Here is a 21,945-nt window from a genome sequence, read left to right as displayed (position 1 = left end):
GCAGTCTTCTTTGGGGGACAAATTGCAAGAAGACTGTGTTTTGTTGTACAGCTGCACTGTCCAATAAGGTAAGCACTAGCCAAATACAGCTAGACAAATTTTAATTAAATACAATTGAATAAAATTAACAATTCAGTTCTTCATCCACATTACTCAAATGTGGCTAGTGACAATAATATTGAACATCACAGATATATAACATTTTCGTCATCACCACAAAAATTTCTACTGGGTGGTGACTTAGTCTTCTTGGACTATCATAACAAAATACCATAGAATGGTGACATAAACAGCAGAAATTTATTTCTCACAGTTCCAGAGGCAAGATTCCTCTTATTGGCTTGAAGACTGCTGCCTTCTTGTGTCTTCCCATGGAGGAGAAACAGAGAGAAAATAAGCTCTCTGGTATGTCTTCTTATAAAGATACTAATCTCATCATGAGAGCTCCACTTTTATAACCTCATCTCAAGCTAATTACACGTCAAAAGACTAATCTCCAAGTACCTTCACATTGGAGGTTAGAGCTTTAATATATGAATGTTATGGGAACACAATTCAGTTCACAGCAGTCAGTGATATGTTAGGGTACGGAATCATTTTACTCCTACTTCTCAGCCTTTCCTCCATTCCTAACTTAACCAAGCAACCATTTCTATAGTCTTTGATAGATGGGAGAATAGAAATGTAGGAACCAGCGTATCTTGTTTCCTTATATAAATGGTGTTCTGTTGATCCTCTCCAATTGCTTTTTGGAAAGGAATACTGATGCCTATGGCCTGGCAGAACATGCACAGCCACTGCCTTGTATGCTGGGCATCTTTCCCTACACATATGGGCATTCCCCCGAATTCTTCAGAATGTGGCATCTGTGAAAAGCAACCGGTGGTATTTTAGAAATCTCTGAAAAAAAAAAAAACCCAGAAAGTGAAGGAGTTCATTGGAAGACCTAAAATTATAAATACTACAGAGATATGTATGGAAAATGAGAGGCAGATATGAAAGAAACAATGCACTAAGTTGCTTTTAGTGATAAACTTCTCATCTACTTCAGGGGGAACTGGAAAGTATGAGGCATAAAGTACTAGATTTGAATCTTGCCTCCTTCACGTATACTCTATATAATCCTGAGTCATTTTCTTTGTCTCTTTGAGCCTCAATGCTTTGCCTGCACAATAGACCTAAATTATATTTTGAGAATTAAATAAGAAAATATGTAAATTCAATTTAACCTTTTACCTAATACAGTGTAAGCTGGCACCAAATATTTGTTCTTTCTGCATCCTATTCCAGAAGGTTCCACAGGAAATAATTTTCTTAGCCATTCTTTTTAGAGGTTGCTTCCATTTACTTTTGTTTACTTTTATTCAAAAGTATAAACAGTGAATTGTATACTGTCATGGCCTGAAGTAGACTGAAATAATGCAGTAGGAGAAGATGGCTTGAATTTGGGCTCTGAAATCAGATAGATTCAGCTTTGAATCCCAGTTCCATAACTTACTTTATTTATAAGCTTTGGCAAGTTTGAATCTCTAAGTCTCAGTTTCTTCATTTATAATATATAGATAATAATTGTAGCAATTATCCTTTTGCTATTGCTAGAATAAAATAAAATAATGTGTGCATAGTGCTTATCTCCATGTCTGACCAATAAAGTGGAAGATAAAAAGGGAGAACGAAGAGAGAAGACAAGCATTTGGAAGTTATAGAAAACTTTAGAGTAAAATCATTTCCATGGTTTCAAACTTCCTTTGGTCCCACTTCATTCCTAAGAAGTGGAGGCAGTGTGCCACAGGAGAAGGAACACTGGTTCAGGGGGTTATATTCATTTTCTAGAGCTGCAATAACAAAGTATCATAGACTGAGTGGATTAAAACAATGGACATTTTTTAAATCTCCCACTTGTTTTGTCCTTTGTCTCTGTGTCCCTTGTGTCTTCTTATAAAGACACCAGTCATATTGGATTAATGGTCACCCTACTCCAGTATGACCTCATCTTAATTAATTAATCTAACTCATTTGCAATGAATTTATTTCTTTTCTTTTCTTTTCTTGTTTTTTTGAGACAGTCTTCCTCTTGTTGCCCACGCTGCAGTGCAATGGCGCGATCTCAGCTCACCGCAACCTCTGCCTCCCAGGTTCAAGTGATTCTCCTGCCTCAGCCTCCCGAGCAGCTGGGATTATAGGCGTGAGCCATTGTGCCCTGTCAACAAACCTATTTCTGTATAAGCTCACATTCTCAGGCACTGGGGATTAGGACATCAACATCTATTTTTGGGAAACACAATTTAACCCATAACAGGGGCCAAAATTCCTGGGTACAAATTGCATATCACCTTCATCACCCTTTAGCTGTGTTCATTGAGTCTAGTTATTTTAACTAAATCTCCCTTCCTTCTTCCCTAAATTAGGAATTGTAATACCCATTTAACTGTTTTTTTGTAAAGAGTAAATGAAATATTTGAGATCTGTTATATAGCAGGTATCCCAAAACTTTGGTGAACACATACACACATAATCATTAGCCCACAGAAATCCATATGTGTATGTTTGGCAATATATTCTGATTATATAAAATATAACTGAAAGTACTGGAATAAAAAAGGTTATTCTGGTTCAGAGAATTTTTTCATATTCTAGTTTTTTTTCCAAGTGAATTGTTTCAGAAACTATATCAGAACTCTGTTCTGATCATATTGTTTCATAATTCTCAGTAGAAGAAAAGAACAAAATAAAGCAAAATTAAAAATTCTACAAGCTCAATTTTGGAGTCGTAATACTCATACTGCTTGTTATCATTTTTAGTTGACAATTTAGCCCTATTCAAGTCCCCAGTAATTACTGCAGTCGTCTTGGTTTGTGTAAAGGATGAGTGGTTTTCCTGTTGTAGAGTGATTATTTATTTGCTCTATTACTTAGAGAGACTTGTGGGTGTAGCAGTAAATTGAAATCAAAATGATAATTTAAAATGTCCTCTTTGTTGTTGATTCATCTTCAGCTTCCAATGAACTGTGACAAGCACAGCAAACCCATTCATGCCTACTACACTTGTGTATGTCCTCACAAGACATGAATGCCTCTGCATTCAACTGGATGCTTACAAATTGGATCTCCATGTCACTCTTAAATGAGAAGGTAGGAACACAGTATAGCTTAACATAAGAGCAGACTTGTACTGGATGCCTAAGTGAAGTTAAAATAGTAAAAGCTCTGTCCTGTTTTCAACGAGTTGTGTGTGCATTGTACATACAGCATTTTATTTTTAACAAAAGATCGTTGATGAAAGTCATTGCATTGCAGAAAGTAAATAGCATAATTGAAGGAAAACAAACCTGCCTGAAGTACTAACATCTATTTTGTCCCTTTGAGACACAACGAGAATGTTCATGTGGCTGAGTGTTGGACCAATGAGAACTTGGAATCAATGCTAATTTTATAACAGGTCAAAATTTTAGGAATCAACTTTTTACAAAGATTCAAAATTAGCTTTTTTTATTCTCTTATTCTTATATAAGTAAAAATATTATTAAGAGTATTTCACACTGGACTCTCTCATTCATTTGCTTGCATTCTCTGTCTCTCTCTGTGTATTTATATCATGTTTAGTCATTCATCTTTGACTTTTCAGGTCCACTGGTACTTTAATTTTGGAATTTTATATTCATTACTTCCTTAGGTTTCTCCTGCTATAGATAACAATCTCTTTCCTTAGCTTTCTAAAACTTACTATTTCTAAATGGATCTTTTCTCATTTTTCCTACTCATCACTACACTTATAATTGCTTGTTTTCCATCTGTCTCCCTTCTTTCTTGCCTCGTGGGGCTTCTTAAAATCTCATCAGAAGCTCATCAATGAACCACACTATTAGGAATCAAAGTGCAGTGCTCATAGATAACTATTTACATCAAATAAAAGAAATATGGGAGATTATCAGGGCTTCTGGCTAATTCTGCTCTTTTCCAGGACAAATACCCATAAATCATACGCTAAGAAAGATTGTCTCATAGCTTCCCAGATACTAGGGACGGCTCTTAACAGAAAGGCAGGAAAGGGAGATTGAGAGGATAAGTTCCTCAGGTAAAGAAGTGCTTACTGCATTGAGAACCATAAACTAGGGGGAATAATATGAGCTAAGGCTATGGGAGAAGTGTATCTTGCAGGCCATTTCAGACCCATTAGTACGATCCTGGAATCATATTGAAGTATAACTGAAAGTTATTGAAATGGTTCAGATAGGACAATAGTATTATCCAATTCATTATATGTTTGAAGGATTTTTCTGAGCACTATGAGGATAATGGATGGAGAGGGATGGTAAGAATAGATGCTAGAAGGTGTATGGTCAAAGAAAGTTAAGGGTTGCTTCAGCAAGATGAGAGAAGAAAGTGTGAGTATTTTGTAGGCATTTGTAACACAGTCCAAAAACTTCTACAAATCAGAAAGCAAAAGTACGAGATTGGTGTTTCCAGGTATTTTTTTTTTTAAGGACTGCTATTTTGAAGAGAGAAATCCCTGGAAAAATAAGAAAGTTAAATTGGTTGTGATACAATTATGCCCTTTTAACATTAGTATTCCCCAAGGCTTAGTGTCCTCTAGTAATTTGGGTTGCAGGGATATATTAACTACCAGACTATTTTTTATTTTAATATATACTTTATTATAGTATTATATATTATATATATAATATGTTATATTTCATACTAGCCACCAGGTTTTTTTTTTTTTGGAAGGACTACTAGTTTGAAGAGAGAAATCCCCAGAAAAATAAGAAAGTTACATTGGTTGTGATACAGTTATGCTCTTCTAATATTAATATTCCCCAAGACTTAGTGTCCTATAGTAATTTGGGATATACTATCCATTAGACTTCATCTGCATACCCTGTTCCAGGACCTTGCCACTTTACCAACTGCTGAGTTTATGTAATTTAGATTTGGTCACATAGTCTTGCTGTCATAGTGTTTTGATCAAATTAAACTGTGATATAATATTAAATCATTATTGTAAGAAAGAGTTGTATTGAGTGTGCTTTACTGCTGGGTAGCTGCTTCCTGTGGATGGTTGAGCAGGTTGTGCACTGTACACCCATACCTAATGACCTTGCGTACACACTAATGACCTCTTTTTGTGGCAGTGAAGTCTCCACCCCAGCCTCCATCTCTTTCTGCTGCAACTCCTCATGCTCCACTGCAAGTGCTTCTCTGGCTTCCACTGCCTGTACCGTCCTTAGTTTAACTCACCCCATCTTGATTCTAACAATGCTTAATGAACTTTCCCTCTGTACTACTGCAATTTTGTTCTCCTGGAAGTATTGGTCTAAAGCATCCACTATAGGTTTTGAAATGCATCAAAGAGAAAAATGAGAATGCCCATCACAAAGCAGCCAGCATGTGAGATGTGGGATGCATGCACATAGCTGGATTAACATGCACTGCACCAGAAGGTAAATAGTTTTCTCTGTTCATTCAGACAAGTCATTTGGTTCTTTACAGGTGCTCACTCATTTCTTAACACTTATGTTTAGTATGCCTCCTGCTATAGTTTGCCTTTTTTCCTTACTAACTTTCCGTTGGACACAAACCATGGTTCTTCATGAAAACCAAAGACTACTATTTATAAAGGCCTTTCAGGTGAAATTGTTTCATTTCTTAGAACATTCCTATGAGGTACCAATTTATATCCCACTTGTGTCCTTCTTGGTTTTGTTTCCTTGTTTTTCCTATCATTTGTTAGATCTTGATTAACTTAATAAAACATTAGCAAGAAAGGTTTAGATATATCTTTTTTTTCTCAGCTTCCTGACCTAGGATATTTCTGACTTATTTTCAAAGCCCTTTCTAGGTTGTTTCTAAAAGGTTTCCAATTCAATATAATGCAATTAGCTGTTTCTTCCCTGGCGTTATTTTTTAAAAGAATGGCAGGTATAAATCTTGAAGTCTATCACCATCAATGCTGTCATTTCTATCCATTTGTCTAATTGCTATTGACCATGGAAAAGTAGTTTTTGATTGAGGCACAATGTAAAGTAATATTGATTATAGTAAATGAACTTTTCTGCAGTTGCTGAATCAATTAGGGAAAAAATATCTAGAGTTGCTTCTAATGTAACGAAGTCCAATTTTCATGTCACTGACTCGTAGCCCTTGTTCCTTGCTTGGTTTAGGCCTAGATATTTAAAATAAATCCCTTCTTTTGTTTAACATCAAAATCCCATTGCTCTAAGCAGAAGGATAGTAAAAATAAGTCTGTACTCCTGCTGTTCAAATAGAACAGAAGGAAATGAGAACAAAACTAGATTTTACTTTTAATCCTTCAAATAAGAAGCTTTTCTGCATGCATTTTATATCAAAGCAATATACATTGTATTCTAGGTTAACAATCAAGAAATCCATATCAAGAAGAGATCAGCAGTTTTCAGCTGCTATCACACAGGAAGGAGGCTCAGCTCTGATTTTTCTGAGATGACTGATAATGATAGCATTGTAGGTGGATGAAGCACCTTTCACCCTGAAATGCTTTATAGAAATCACTCATGACAGCTGTGACTACTGATGCTTAGGCCTCTAGGGACTTATATGCTGTAACAGAAATGCCACATGGAGGGAAAATGGAGAGAGAACAAAGAAAAGGCTACAGTACAGGTATAACCTTATGGCTAAAGACCCATTCAGGAGCAGGGAGGAACTCTTCAGATATACAGTACTCTCAAGATCTGAAGATGGGGGTCTGAAGGTTTACAACCTTGTAATCTGTTGTTTTAACTATTGACATTCATGCTAGCCTTTGATCTCAGGGCCTCAGTGTCTCTGAGGTGTAAAAGTTAGCAGGCTCAAATGTAATATTAGAATAGCCGTTATTCCATGTAATTTTTATTGAATTTTCATAGCAATCTCTGCTGTGTCATAAATGGGTTGGACTATTTCCATGCATTTGGGTGCTCAATGTCTAACAAATCGGTGTATCATTATTACTCAAAATTCATAGCTCACCTTTAATAAGGCATTGCAACTTACAATATTATATCATATGTTTTTTCATTTGCACCTCCACCTTTCACATGGGATAGGAAGGAACATTTTTGTAGTTGTTTTGTTTTTGTGTTATAGAAGGAGATATTAAGGCTTTCCGAATTTAATAGACTCGTACAAAACTATGAAGGCACGAACTGATTATCTAACACCAGATCCACTAATGTCTTCCTCTAGACAATATTACTACATGATGACTGAAGTTCCATTTTTTTTACATTTGTCACGAAAATATTCCCTAATAAAACCTTCCACTCCTATGCCAATGATTCTGGAACTCCTAATCCACTAAATAGTCCTTCTGTGTGAATACACATTTTCTTGGCAATCTATATATCTATGACTGTAGTCACTTCATTTGTTTTAGAGTTTAGAGGGTGTTTTTAGAGTTAAAATTCAGGTTGTATAATTTGAGTGATTCATAGTGGTGTTTATGACCAGCTTTTTCTTATGCCAACATTAGCTAGGTATGCTTTTAGAAAAAAATACTGAATATGTCTGTTTTATAGATTGCTCAATGAATTTCATTCCTCTGGTTCCCAGACTAAAAGGACTGAACATCTTCATTACAAAACTTGATTGCTACTAATTTATTATAAGACAATAATTAGTGTAATTATATTATACTCCTGAATAAATCAACTACTCATCTCCCACCCTACCTTCCTGCAAATATAATACTTGCCATGGTTCTAATATGAGAGTGATCAGGACTTTTGCCAAGGTAATAAATAATGTAATCTTGAGCATATGCGGAAAAGGAATTAAAATGAAAATTTTCCACTCACTCCTTATATATGGCTCTATAGCATTCTTAAGAATGTTAAATCATGATTATAAGAAAGGGTTTTATTTAGTGTGCTTTACTTCTGGGGGGCTGCCTCCTGAGAATGGTTGACCAGGTTCTGCACCGTGCTCCCATATGTAATGACCTTGCATCCACACTGATGGCAATAATTATTTCATTCAAACATTAAGTGCTTATTTTGTCCCTTTTTCTGAAAGATAGGAACATCATTAAACCAGATGGCCTAGGTGTCTGCTTTCATAGCAAAAATATTTCAGCATATGTGTATGTATTGTGCATGTGTGTCAGAGGGATGTAAATAAACAAACAAGAAAATCTATCAGTTATTTATGTGATATGAATAAAATAAAATGGAATGATGGGTAAGTGATTCAAGGGCTCTTTTAGACTAAGTGGTCAGGAACTGTATTCCTGAAAATGTGACATTTAAGCTAAGATCTGAACAATAAGAAGTACACAACCAAGCAATGTTGTGGAAAGGAGTATTTTAGGTAGAAGAAACAGAATGTCCCAAGGCTGTATGAAGAGAACATGTGTGGCTGGAGTTTAGTAAATAAAGGAAAAGTGATACTAGATAAAGTCATAGAAGTAAAGAGATAAAGAGCAGGTTGTGTAGTAACTAAATAACAAGAGTAAAGAGTTAAGATTTTATTTTAAACTCCATATAAAGGGATAGGAGTGTTTTGAGCAGTGGAATGACATGATCTGACAGATGTTTTTTAAAAGATGCTCTGGTTATAGAGTGTCAAATAGAGGATACCCAGCAGGGACACCAGTTAGTAGCTGCTTCTGTTTTCCAAGTGAGAAATAAAGATGGTGTGGTTGAGGATGCTCTTCATGGCTGTGGTCAGGATATATTTTGAAGGTACAGACAATACAATATGCTAATATCCTACAAATAGGATAGATATTTTATATGTAAGAAAGTAAGGCATTAAAACCAACCCCTGTATTTTTATCTTTTTATCTTTTTCTTTCTTTCTTTTTTTTTTTTTTTTTTTTTGAGACAAGTCTCACTCTGTCGCCCAGCCTGGAGTGCAATGGCATGATCACGGCTCACCACAACCTCCACTTCCTGGGTTCAAGCAATTCTCCTGCCTCAACCTCCCAAGTAGCTGGGATAACAGGCAAGTGCCACCACACCCGGCTAATTTTTGTATTTTTAGTAGAGGCAGGATTTCTGCATGTTGGCCAGTCTCAAACTCCTGATCTCAGATGATCCACCCGCCTCAGCCTCCCAAAGTGCTGGGATTACAGGCATGAACCACTGCGCCCAGCACCCTGTGTTTTCATCTTAAGCACCTAAAAACACTTTGTTGTCATTTACTGACATGGAAAGTCCGCTGTAGAAGCAGGTTTGTGGTGTTGAATGGGTAGAATAAAGAGTTATTTTCTAGATATACTAAGCTTAATATGCTGTTTTTAGATATATACTCAAGAAAGTTGCTGAGTAAGCTGTTTGATAAACATATTTGGGGCTCAAGGGGTGATTGAGGCTACAATTAAATTTTTTTCAATATTTGATTAATATATATTAAAAATTCAATGGAAACTTATTGAACATCTATTGAGGTCAGCCACTATACTAGTAATTAAAACACAGAGGCAGAAATATCTGTTCTTAGTCTGATTGTAGTAACAATAGAAAATCTGAACACAATATTTTGTGTTGTGATATAGATATGTAAAGGATGCTATGGGTATCATGAAGTTTAGAAGAGGTCATGAGTGAACTGAATCTTTAGAAAAAAGTAAGAGTTAGCCAGTTGAAGCAGGCAAGATAAAGATATTTTATGTGCAATAACATGGAGGTAAATGAGAGCTTAACTTTACCATATGATTTAAGCATAGGTGACTTGTGGTAAGGCCTTGGACATTACACTGTTTAAATTTTATTTTAAAGCTAATGGGAAGCAGGGAAGGATTACAATCAGATTTTGTTTTTAGAAAGAATTCTCTAAAAGCAGCTTGGAGAATAGATTAGAGGAGGACAGTACTGAAGACTGTTTAATCATTGCATTCATTTTCTGTTAACAGTTGAGAAATAACTACTAATGCACAAGGGACTTAAACAAAACCCACGTATTAGCTCACGGTTCTGCAAGTAAGAAACTGCAGTGGGTTTGGCTGGTGTATTAGTCTGTTTTCATGCTGCCAATAAAGATATACCCAAAACTGAGCAATTTACAAAAGAAAGAGGTTTAATTGGACTCACAGCTCCACATAGCTGGGGAGGCCTCACAATCATGGCGGAAGGCAAAGAGGAGCAAGTCACATCTCACATGGATGGCAGCAGGCAAAAAAAGAACTTGTGCAGGGAAACTCCACCTTATAAAACCATCAGATCTCATGAGACTATCATGAGAACAGCACAGGAAAGATCTGCCCCCATGATTCAATTACCTCCCACAACAAGTGGGAATTCAAGATAAGATTTGGGCGGGGAAACTGACAAAACCGTATCAGCTGGATTCATTGTTTAAGGTCCCACAAGGTTGACAGCAAGGTTTGACTGGGACATACTTTTATCTGGAAACTCTGAGACCTATCCTAAGCTGCACCTCACTGAGGAGCATCATCAGAAGCTTAACACTGTGGAAGGAAAAGCTATGTCACTAAAATAATGAGTCATGAAAAAATAAATAAGCAAACAACAATAATAAGCCCCAGGGGAGAGGCAATACCCAGAGTTATCAAAATAATATATTTTAGGCAGGGTGTGGTGGCTCACTCCTATAACCCTAGCACTTTGGGAGGCTGAGGCAGGCAGATCATAGGTGGATCATTTGAGGTCAGGAGTTTGAGAACAGCCTCACCAACATGGTGAAACCCCATCTCTATTAAAAATACAAAAATTAGCCGGCCATGGTGGTGGGCACCTGTAATCTCAGCTACTCGGGAGGCTGAGGTGGGAGAATTTCTTCAACCCAGGAGGTGAAGGTTGCAGTGAGCCAAGATCCACCACTGCATTGCAGCCTGGGTGACAGAGCGAGGCTCCCTCAAAAAAAAAAAAAAAAAAAAAAAAACCACACACACACACACCCAAGAAATATATATATATAGTCCAGTTTCCAAAAACAAAAAATTATGAGCTACACAGATATAAAAATATGACCCATATACTAGAACAAAAAAAAATATGCAACAGAAACTGCCTATGAGAGTGACCAGAAGTTGGATTTAAGAGAAAAAAGACAACAAAAGTAGCCATTATAAATATGTTTAAATAACTAAAGGAAGCCATTATTGAACAAATAAAAGAAGATATAATAGGTGGGAGTAAAGTTGTATTAGGCTGAGGAAATGACTCCAGATGGCAACTTTAAAATCCACAAGAAGTAATGAAGATAATTAGAAATCTTAAATAAGAATGTGAACATTCTTATTTAAGTTTTTCTTCTTACTTTCTTTCCTCCTCTCAGCTTCTTTGAGACATAAAATTATACACAGTAATAATTATAACAATATATTGTTGGATCTGTACCATTATTAGATATAATGTGTGTAACAGTAATACCACAGAAATAAGAAAAATAAATAGAAATATATAGGAATAATATTTATATGTCTTAATGGAAATAAGGTAGTGTAAACCTGAAGCTGGTTCTGATAAGTTAGGATGTATGTGGGAAGCTGTAGAATAGCCACAAAGAAGTTCCTTAAAAAAAAAAAAAAAGAGAGCAAATTACTAAAGAAATTTAGTGCCTTATTAGAAAATATTTGCTTAAGGAAAAGGAAAGCAATAGGGGGAAGAGGAACAAAATAGATATGAGAGACATGTAAAGCAATAATTAAAATGGCAGGTGTAAATCAAATTATGTAAAAAATAACAAGTGTGAATGGATTAAACAATCCAATTAAAAGGCAGAGTTCATCAGATTTGATTTAAAAAAACTATATACTATTTACAAGAGACACAGTTTAGATTCAAAGATAAAAGTAAAAGGTTAGAAAAAAATTTATCATGTAAAAAGTAATTACAGATAGCTATAGCGACTATAGTAGTATAAATCAAAATAGACTTTAAAACAAAATGTCACTAGAGATAAAAATGGGACTTTTATAAGGATAAAAGGATAAATTGATCAGGAAGGTATAACAATTGAAAATATGCATGTATTGAAGAACAAATAATCAAAATACATAAAGAAAATACCTTACCAAAGTGAAGGGAAAAAGGGGAAATTTACCATAATATTTAGAGATTTTAATACATTACTTTCATTAATGGATAGAACAGCTGGCCTAAATATCAACAAGGAAATTGAAGATTAAAACAGCAACATAAATTCATTACACTTAATGATGTCTTTAGAACACTCTACCCAATAAAAATCAGAAAAAGAAAAGAAGGAACAAAAGAAAGAAAAAGCTCAATAAATTTTAAATAATAGTAATAATACAAAGTATGTTCTCCATTCACAACGTAATGAAATTAGAAATCAATAACAGAAAAAGATTTGGGGAACTCACAAATATGTGGAAATTAAACAACAGACTCCTAAATAACCAATGGGTCAAAGAAAAAAGTCAAAAAGGAAATCAAAATACTCTGAATGAAAATAAAGACACAACACATCAAAATGTGTAGAGTGCAGCTAAATAGGTGCTTAAAGGTAAATTTACAGTTCTACATGCCTTTCCTAAGAAACAGGAAAGATTTCAAATTAATAACACAATCTTCAACTTCAAGACACTGGAAAAAGAGGAGCAAACAAACCCTACAGCAAGCAAAAAGAAGGAAATAATAAGAACTAATGTGGAAATGAAGTGAAGAATATTAAAAATAAAATAGATAAAATCAGTGAATTCCACTCTTGTTCTTTGAAGACATGAACAAAATGGACAAACCTTGAGAAGGGGGAGATGGGGAGATAACAAAACATGTAAAACTAATGGAATCATAAATTCATAAATGTAAGATGGGACATTATCACAAACTATACACAAACAAAAGGAATAATAAAGCAATATTTTGAACACCTGCATGCCAATAAATTAGATGACTTACATGAAATACACAAGTACCAGAAAATAAACGAACGATTCCAAATGACTTTTGAAGAAGTAGACAATATAGAATATAAATGATACAGAATGTAGGATAGACCAAGAACAAGTAATCAAAAGCTGCCAACAAAGAAAAGCTCTGGACTTAGATGACTTCATTCGTGAACATTTAAAGAATTAAAATCAATTCTTCACAAACTTTTCCAAGAATGTAAGAGGAGAAACACTTCTCAACTCATTCTATGAAGTCAGTATTACTCTGATACCAAAACCAGAGAAAAACAAACATCTAAAGAAAAAAAAGCTACAGACCACCATTGTTTATAAATATGAACACAAAAAATACTCAAGGAAATATAGTCAAACTAATTCCAGAAACATATAAAACAATTATACACCCTGACAAAGTGGGATTTATCCCTGGAATGCAAAGTAGATTTAACATTCAAAAATCAATTAATGTAATACACTATAACAACAGAATAAAGAACAGATATGATATGATCATCTTAATAGACATAATAATAAATTTAATAATATGTAATACAATTTTATGATCAAAACACTCAACATATTATAAATTAAAGGGAACTTCCTCAACCTGATAAAAGTCATCTAAGAAAAACTCATAGACAGCATCATACTTCATGGTGAAAGACTGAATGCTTTCTCCCCAAAATCAGATGACAAAATCTTGTATGCAGAAAAATCTTAAGGAATGCATCACAAATATATTAGAACTAATAAACAAGTTCATCAAGATTGGTGTACAAAATCAGTATGTGAAAATCAATTGTATATTTATACACATGCAATGAGCAATCTGGAAATGGAATTGAGAAAACAATACAATAAAATGCTTAGGGATAAATTTAATGAAAAAAGTGCAAACTTACTCTGAAAACTACAAAACATTTTTTAAAGAAATTAAAGAAGTTCTAAATAAATAAAGAAAATATTCCATGTTCATGATGAAAAGACTCCATATTGTCAAAATAGATTTCATATTGTCAAAATGGCAATACTTCTCATACTGACCTACTTATTCAATGAGATATCTGTCAAAACAAGAGATATATGATAAAAATGTTCTAAATTTTATTGAGATAATGGTGATATAATTCTGTGAGTACACTAAAAAAATTGAATTATCTACTTTACATGGGTAAGTTGTATGGCATGTTAATTATATCTGAATGAAGCTATTAAAAATAAAATGAAAACTTAACAAAGAAGGGGGGAAGAGTTAACACTGATTCCCATAAATGTTTAGTTCTAATATTTAAAATTATACAGAAATTTACATTTTAAAAATAATAAACTGTAAAAAATAGCAAAACAGCAACAATTTGATTATGCTATTCCTTCTCTTACAATGTTGCTTTGAACATGTCCACTATTTTGATATTCTATTTTGAATGACCTCCAGGTTATCACACTGAAGAGATGGTGTCCCAAAGTGAATTTATGGCCCAGGATGGAGTGTTTCTCTCTCTTCCCTTGTCCTAGACAGTCTTCTTCTACAGATACAGTCAAATAGCTCAGTAAATCCTGCTTTCCTCTCTAAATGCTCACAGAACACTCTTTCATTGGTGAGTTCTAAACTGTGGAGCGGAATGGGTATCAAACTCACTTTTAATAATTTCAACAATTTACCTTTTTCTACTCCTTGAAATTGCATTATCTCAATTTCATTCTCTCCCAATCATAAAGTTGCATTTTCAAAGTTTCCTGCTCATATTTTAGGGATCTCAGTACTTTGAGCTCAGCTCCTTACTTCTCTTAGACTTCAATTTCCCCTTAACGATGTTTCTTCTATATCTATCTATCTATCTATCTATCTATCTATCTATCTATCTATCTATCTATCTATCTTGAAGTTTATCCTATTTGAAAGCCAAAGAGGGGTTGACAAATTTGTCCAGATAGCTTTCATTCATTATCACTGTGTCTTCAATACCAAGCTAAAGGTCTGTTATCTTTTCCTTTAGAAAATGTCTTTCAAAACCTCTTTTTTTAAAGTTGAATTTAACTTTTATTTTATTTTATTTTATTTTTTGAGATAGGGTCTTGCTCTGTTGCCCAGGCTGGAATGCAGTGGCTTGATCATAGCTCACAGCAGCCTCAAACTCCTGAGCTCAAGCTATCCTCCTGAGCTCAAGCTATCCTCCTGTTTCAGCCTCTCGAGTAGCTGGGACTACAGGTGTGTGCCTCTAGGCCTGGCTAACTTTTTCAAAATTTTTAAATTTCTAATTTTGGTGGGTACACAGTAGGTGTATATATTTACTGGGTACATGAGATATTTTGATATAGGCATGTGATGTGAAATAATCAGATCATGGAGAACAGGGTATCCATCTCTCCAAGCATTTATCCTTTGTGTTACAAACAATTCAATTACTGGCTAATTATATTCTTTTTTGTAGAGACAAGGTCTTACTTTGTTGCACAGGCTGGTCTTGAACTCCTTTGCTCAAGCAATCCCCCTGCCTTGGTCTTCCAAAGTGCTGGGATTACAGGCATGAGGCACTGCACCCAGCATTAGCTTTTTAAAAAAAAAATTAATTCATGGGGTGCCCTTTCTATCATATACCATTTTATAATAATAAATTATTTCCAGCATATTATTTTGAAAACTGTATTTCTCCAAAAAGTTTCTGTGTGATTTCCTCCTTTTTTTGTGGTCTAAGATCTGAATTTTATCAGACTAGCTTGTTTCACAGCAAGTCATTGTTTTACTCATCTTTGGCTATGTAATGAGTAATGAAAATACTAGCTGATACTTATTTAAAGTTTACTATGTGTCAACTTCTTTCCATCAGTTTGATATGGATTATCATATTTAACCATTACAACAATCATATGCAGGAGGTGTCCTCTTTAGATGAGGAAACCAAAGCACAGAGGATGCATAACTCGCTTAATCTTACCTGGCAGGAGAGTGGTGGAGTTAGAATTGAATTCTGAAAGTCTGACCTCAGAGATTGTTATCTTGATCATTATTATAGGTGTTGTCTCCCTTCAGCCCCCTGACCTCTGTCCTTGGTTCCCGGGTGTCCCAGGAGTTTTGTGAATTTTTTTTGCCTGCTTGATTTTTTTATATGCGCACGGGATCAAGTACCTTCTTTTCTTAGTATCCATTGCACCAGATGACCTTTTGCGTCTGCTCCATCCTCATCACACAAACTTACTCTAGGATATGTTAAAACAAATATAGATGAGGTTTAGAGGTAGAAAGATTTGGTGTGTATATGTTTTATACCACTTGTTTTGTTATGTAGGTGTCAGTTAAGTTTTGAAAGGTAAGCTGAATACCATGGGAAAGAATATTTCCAGTAAAAGGAGCAGCCCATGCAAAGGTGTTGCTAGCGGTTTGGTAGGTAGGAGGACAGGGCACCTTGGAGGTGGGCCAAAGTGAGGCTAGAGAGGAGGAGGTAGAGGGGAGAAAGATCATGATAGGGCGGTAAGTTATGTGAAAGAGTTTATGATGTTGGCCGGGCGCGGTGGCTCACGGCTGTAATTCCAGCACTTCAGGAGGCCGAAGAAGGTGGATCACAAGGTCAAGAGATCAAGACCATCCTGGCCAACATGGTGACATCCCATCTCTACTAAAAATACAAAAATTAGCTGGGCTTGGTGGCACGTGCCTGTAGTCCCAGCTACTCGGGAGGCTGAGGCAGGAGAATTGCTTGAACCCGGGAAGCAGAGGTTGCAGTGAGCTGAGATTGTGCCACTGCACTCCAGCCTGGGGACAGAACAAGACTCCGTCTCAAAAAAAAAAAAAGAAAAAGAGTTTGTGATGTTATCTTTCAGTTTTTGTCAGGGGAATAACCAAATCATATTAAAATTTTAGAATACAAATTTAAAATCAAATAATAAAAACTATGCTACTTTAATTTTTGTGTAAAAAAGATATGCAGCAAATGTGGCTAAATGTTACTTTTTTTTATATTTGTTTGCTAGCAAAAATAATCATTTGTAATTAAATATATGAATGAATATTACATATATTTTAATAGTTTATAATGAAAATAGTAATAATAATAATAAGCACCACCATGGTGGAAGTGAGGGGGAAAATTGTGAGTGTAAAGCAAGGAAGAGGCTAGAATAGAGAGAGATCTTGGTAATAAGAGGGAAAGGAAGGAAGGAAGGAGAGAAAGAGAGGAAGAAAGAGAGAGAAGGTAGGATGAAGGAAGGAAAAAGGAAGAAATGAAAGAAGAAAGGAAGGAAGGAAGGAAGGAAAGAAGGAAGGAAAGAAGGAAAGAAAGAAGGGTGTTTAAAGAGAAAAATAAAATGAGATGTCAAATATTCAGATGAGTATGTATGGGTTAAAGGTCAAAGTTGGCATCTTTCTTGTTTAGAATCTAAATTTTAGGTAGTAGCTAAAGATGTGGGAGTGTATGATATGGCCAAGGAAGACAGTGTAGAATGAGAGGAGGAAAGGGAGCACAAAGTGTCTAACTGTGGACAATATCACATTTAAGTGGCAAGAAGAAGCAGACAATCAGCTTAGAGTATTTGAGAAGGGTTTTTGTTTGTTTGTTTTTTGTTGTTTTTTGTTTTTGCCATGACTGTATTGTTGACCTAATTGTGGGGGTAAAGACCTTTCACCTGTACCTTAAACCATCCAGCCTCTTGGTGGTGAGCCAAAATGTGTTCTCTCAAGTATACCTGAGTTATGTGCTGTTTCCTTTCAACCTGGAGGCCGACCCAGATTGTGTCTGAAAGTGACCCTGCAGTTGTTTATTGTCTGTTCTATATTACTCATCCCTGATCTTTAAGATATAATAAGTTTCATTGAAATAAGGTACGACTCCGGGATTCCTTTTTATTCATCATTCCAATATATTTGCCCATTTTCCTGCCCCCATTATAGTTATATTAAATAAAATCTGAAGATATTTTTAGTTGATTACTGGGAAGAATTCATCTACTTGCTTCTATTTGCTTAGGGTTAGAACTTCTTGATTGCAATATGAAGATTGATAAAGTGACAAGCAACTTTGTCTACTACACTATATTGTTGTTGACTGCAGCAATATAAAAACTGAAATTAAAAACCATGCTCTTCACTTTCATTTGAGTCCTCCCAGTTATTCCAGACATAAATCAGGTAAGTGAACTTGGAGCGTCCTTGAGATTCTTTACTGGTGACCTTAGTACTGAGCATAAAGCTCAGTACTGCAGGAGCACTGCAGCCACATTGGTCTCTTTGTGGTTTAACTCACTTTGTATTTATTGTCAGCACTGCACAACTGCCAGGTTGTTTCATTCATTAATTGTTCTATAAAGTTATTGTCACTATTGCTTTCTATAAACTTATTAATTTTTGAATGTATACAGACCATCTTTCAACAGCTAGTACAAGGTCTTCTTTAGGGGTGAAAGCATGTTTTATACTCCTCTTGAATGCTGCAGTTTTTGGCATATTGCCGAATACAGGCAAAGTACTCAATAAAACCTTTTGATTTATCAATGAATGTACTGATTACTTACTATCATTCTTATAAAACCATGGTAGGTAAAATAGAAATACTAATGATGCCTTTGCCTTTTATATGATTGTTGTGAGGATCAAATCAGGTATGAGAGGGGAAATTACTCCACTAATATTATGAAGACCTATTAGGTCATTAACAGAAATTCAGCTGAAATTGTTCTTTATTTTATAGGATGTGCTTTTTTGCCTCCTGCTTTGGAATTTCATCAAAACAAAGAAAACAAACAAATCCTGAATATACACTGAATGGTTTGACTCTAGTTGGAGATTTTTAAAGTTTTGCTCCAGACCTTGACTGACTCCAATTCTAAAGACAACTGAGCAGGCTAGTTAGGAAATTCTTATGCAACTTATAAAATAGAGACCCCAAAGGGCTTTTTGGCATAATAGAATAGAATAGAATAGAAAAATACTTTTGATGTGTCGTTAGGGTTTAATCCCTTCGTCTTTGTCACCATTAAGGAAGAGAAATACTCCTCTAAGATCAAAGAGAAGATTTTGACCTGTATTTCCCAAACACTGTGCAGAGGTACTCCATACCATGTCATGGCACCTTCCTTTATTTGTGAAGTTTAGTTTGTAGCAGGTTTGATAAAAAGCAAATATGGGATGAAAATTGGGGTGGAACAGGAAGTGAAGATGGCTGTATGCAATTTGACTCTAAGGTTTGAGAAGTCGTGCAGTGCCTAACAGTGCTCACATGCCAACCCCAAATAGACTAGTGCCCCCTTATCCACAGGAAATACATTTCAAGACCCCCGATGGATGCCTGAAACCGCGGACAGTATGAAACCATAAACATACTGTGTTTTTTCCTACACATACATATCTCTAATAAAGTTTGATTTGTAAGTTAGGCACAGTAAGAGATTAGAAACAGTAACTAATGATAAGTTAGAACAATTATAACAACATACTGTAATGCAAATTATATGAATGTTTTCTCCTCTTTCTCTCAAAATACTGTAATGTTTTCAGATCACAGCTGAGGGCGTTAACTGAAACTGCAGAAAGTGTAACTGTGGATAAGAGGTGACTACAGTTTTAGGGATAAGAATGAAATAAGAATATATTTTTATTTTATGTGTATTATATCTTCAGAGTGCTAATAAGTTGTTAAGACATAAATACTTGCTAAGGTGTTTGGATTTACTTTAATAAACTGAACTGTTAGGTCTTTATTTTTGCCCAAGTATGCTATAAAAAATTATTAAGACATTGTGAGCACTGAAGATCAAGAAAGTTTGGGAGCTACTTGCTTAGTGCAATGAAATATGTTTGATTTTCCATAAGCCAAATAGTCTATATCTGCTTAATTTTTATGTCAATTCCTTTACTCTCCTATGACAGTTTTAAGAGTTTTTTTTGTATAATCTATCTAAATAAAATATATTTTTTCTCATAGGGCACCCAGGAGAGGTTCTGATAAATGAGTGTCACCTTCTGGATTAAGAAAGTCACTTCACCACTGTTGGCCTTGATCTCTCCACATCTGTGAAATAATAGTGTGGATTATTTGATATTCCCAGTCTCTTTCCAATCTAGAATTCCATAATACTATAAACTTAGAAGATTCTTAAAATATAATGAGAAGGCCATCAGATGGTGGAATCGAGAGAGTTCTCCACCCACTGTTAATTGAAGAGAGAATTCATGTTCTGTCTGGAAGCAATGGCCTACAATTTTGACGTCTGATATGCTGCACTGATGTGGGCATTGTTCAAAGTAAAGGGTACCAGAGAAAGACCCTGGATAAATAGGTGTCAACGCTCATGGTACATGAGACAGGGATGTCTGAGCATTGTGGAGCAGGCAATTCTTCAGACTTTATAATTTTGCTTGGGTCTTGGAGTTGGAGGAAGGGTGGTGTAGAAGAGAACGTGCTACCATATTTTTGATAGCAATATACTTAGAACTCAGTCCTGTTCTTTCAAATATCCTAAAACTCATGTCATATGTGTAAAGAAAAAGTTCACAACCATTTTCTTTTGATCCTCTTCAGGGAGGTTGATAACGTAGCTAAATTGTGAATGCAGGCAGAATCATCTCGTTGGATATTTATGGTGATATAAGGGTCCCTGACATAACTTTTCTAATATTGCAAAAGATGCTTTTATGTATAAATAACTCTTAATCACAGTTTAAGAATACTTTTATCATCCTGTTGATGCTCATTCAAGCAATATCAAATGCTTTTGCAGTAGATTTAAAAACAAAATAAAAACTCAGCCTATTTGCAGTTTACATTTTCCTTACACCCATCACCCACTTTTGCTCTTCTATGCTGAGTAGTGCTCTCATGCCGTCTGTGTATTGTCTTAATATCTGTCACTTCCTCAACACTTTTATCCTTTTTGTCTTCATCTTCTTGATTCCTCTGATTTTTTTTTTAATTCACCATGCAGTTTCTCTCTGATGTTTTTCTCACAGTACTTTTATAATCTGTAATGCATTCATTATTCTTTGCAGAACCTTGTTGCCATGTTCATTTGTTTTCCAATAATCTTTATTAGATCTTTTACTTTGTATTTTTTCAAGTCTTTTAAATCCCTTCTTATGCAAATTCTATTTTTTATTTAACTCGCTTAGCTTGCCTTGTCTCTGATCTTCCTTCGACAATTTTATTACAGTTTCTCTCATCATCTTTACACTTTTTTATGTCTTTGAAATATGATCTTCCCACTTTCCTTTTACTGTTTCTATGATACCCTCCTATGTCCCATCTCCCATTCTTAGCCTTAAAATTATTTAAAATAATTCATTATCTTACCTCATGTTTTTGCCTCTCCCCCTTCCTTTGTTTGGAATTGGTCCTTTACAAAAGAATTGGTTACCCAGAATGGCTTTCTTAGTTGTTTAAAGGAGGACCAAACCGATATTGCCAAATACCTAAAGCTTTACAAAAATCAAGGTCTGAGAGATGACAAATTGAGGGTCAGGGCTGAAGGGCAGCTATATGACTTGAAAGAAGAGGTTTAACTCAGGCAAAATTATATCATTTTGTAGGTTATATGTGCCATATACATTCCATAGTTTTCTAAATAAGCCCTCCAAAATACAGGTGATTTCTAGGTTCTTGGCATTTTTAAAATTTTTATCTTGCTCTGTCACTCTGGCTAAAGTGCAGTGGAGCAATGATACCTCACTGCAGCCTCGAACTCCTGGGCTCAACCTTCTGAGTAGCTGGATTACAGCCCAGCTAATGTTTTCTACTTTGTACAGAGGAGGTCACTATGTTGCCCAGACTGGTAACTCTTGACCTCAAGCCATCCTACCACCTCAGCCTTCCACCCTCCTACCTGAACCTCCCAAATATCTGAGATTACAAACACATGCCACAGAACCCAGCAGGTTCCTGGCATCTTTTATTTTCTCTCTCACCATTAGAAACTAAAGTCCAAATTTCTAAGTTAACATAAGGCCTATAATTAGAGTGAAGACAGTCTTTTCCAACCTCTGAGCTAACTTGGGATGGGGAAAAAACATAGTAGACACTTGTCATGTCTCTTTTTTCCTTTTCAAAAATATTTGCTTTTAAAGCTTGCCTCCTTCTTCAGAATGGGGTAAAATAAAAATAAAGCTGGGCCGGGTGTGGTGG

At 35.3% G+C, this 21,945-nt stretch overlaps 1 long non-coding RNA gene across 1 annotated transcript in view; it reads right to left on the bottom strand.

The window, feature by feature from the left end:
* LINC01288 (long intergenic non-protein coding RNA 1288) overlaps nt 1-21,945 on the bottom strand; it is an 80,878-nt gene that overhangs the window by 49,261 nt on the left and 9,672 nt on the right. The window lies entirely within an intron of this gene.

This window comes from Homo sapiens, chromosome 8 (assembly GCF_000001405.40).
Source record: "Homo sapiens chromosome 8, GRCh38.p14 Primary Assembly".
Lineage (NCBI taxonomy): Eukaryota > Metazoa > Chordata > Mammalia > Primates > Hominidae > Homo > Homo sapiens.
This window is presented reverse-complemented; position numbering and strand designations above follow the sequence as displayed.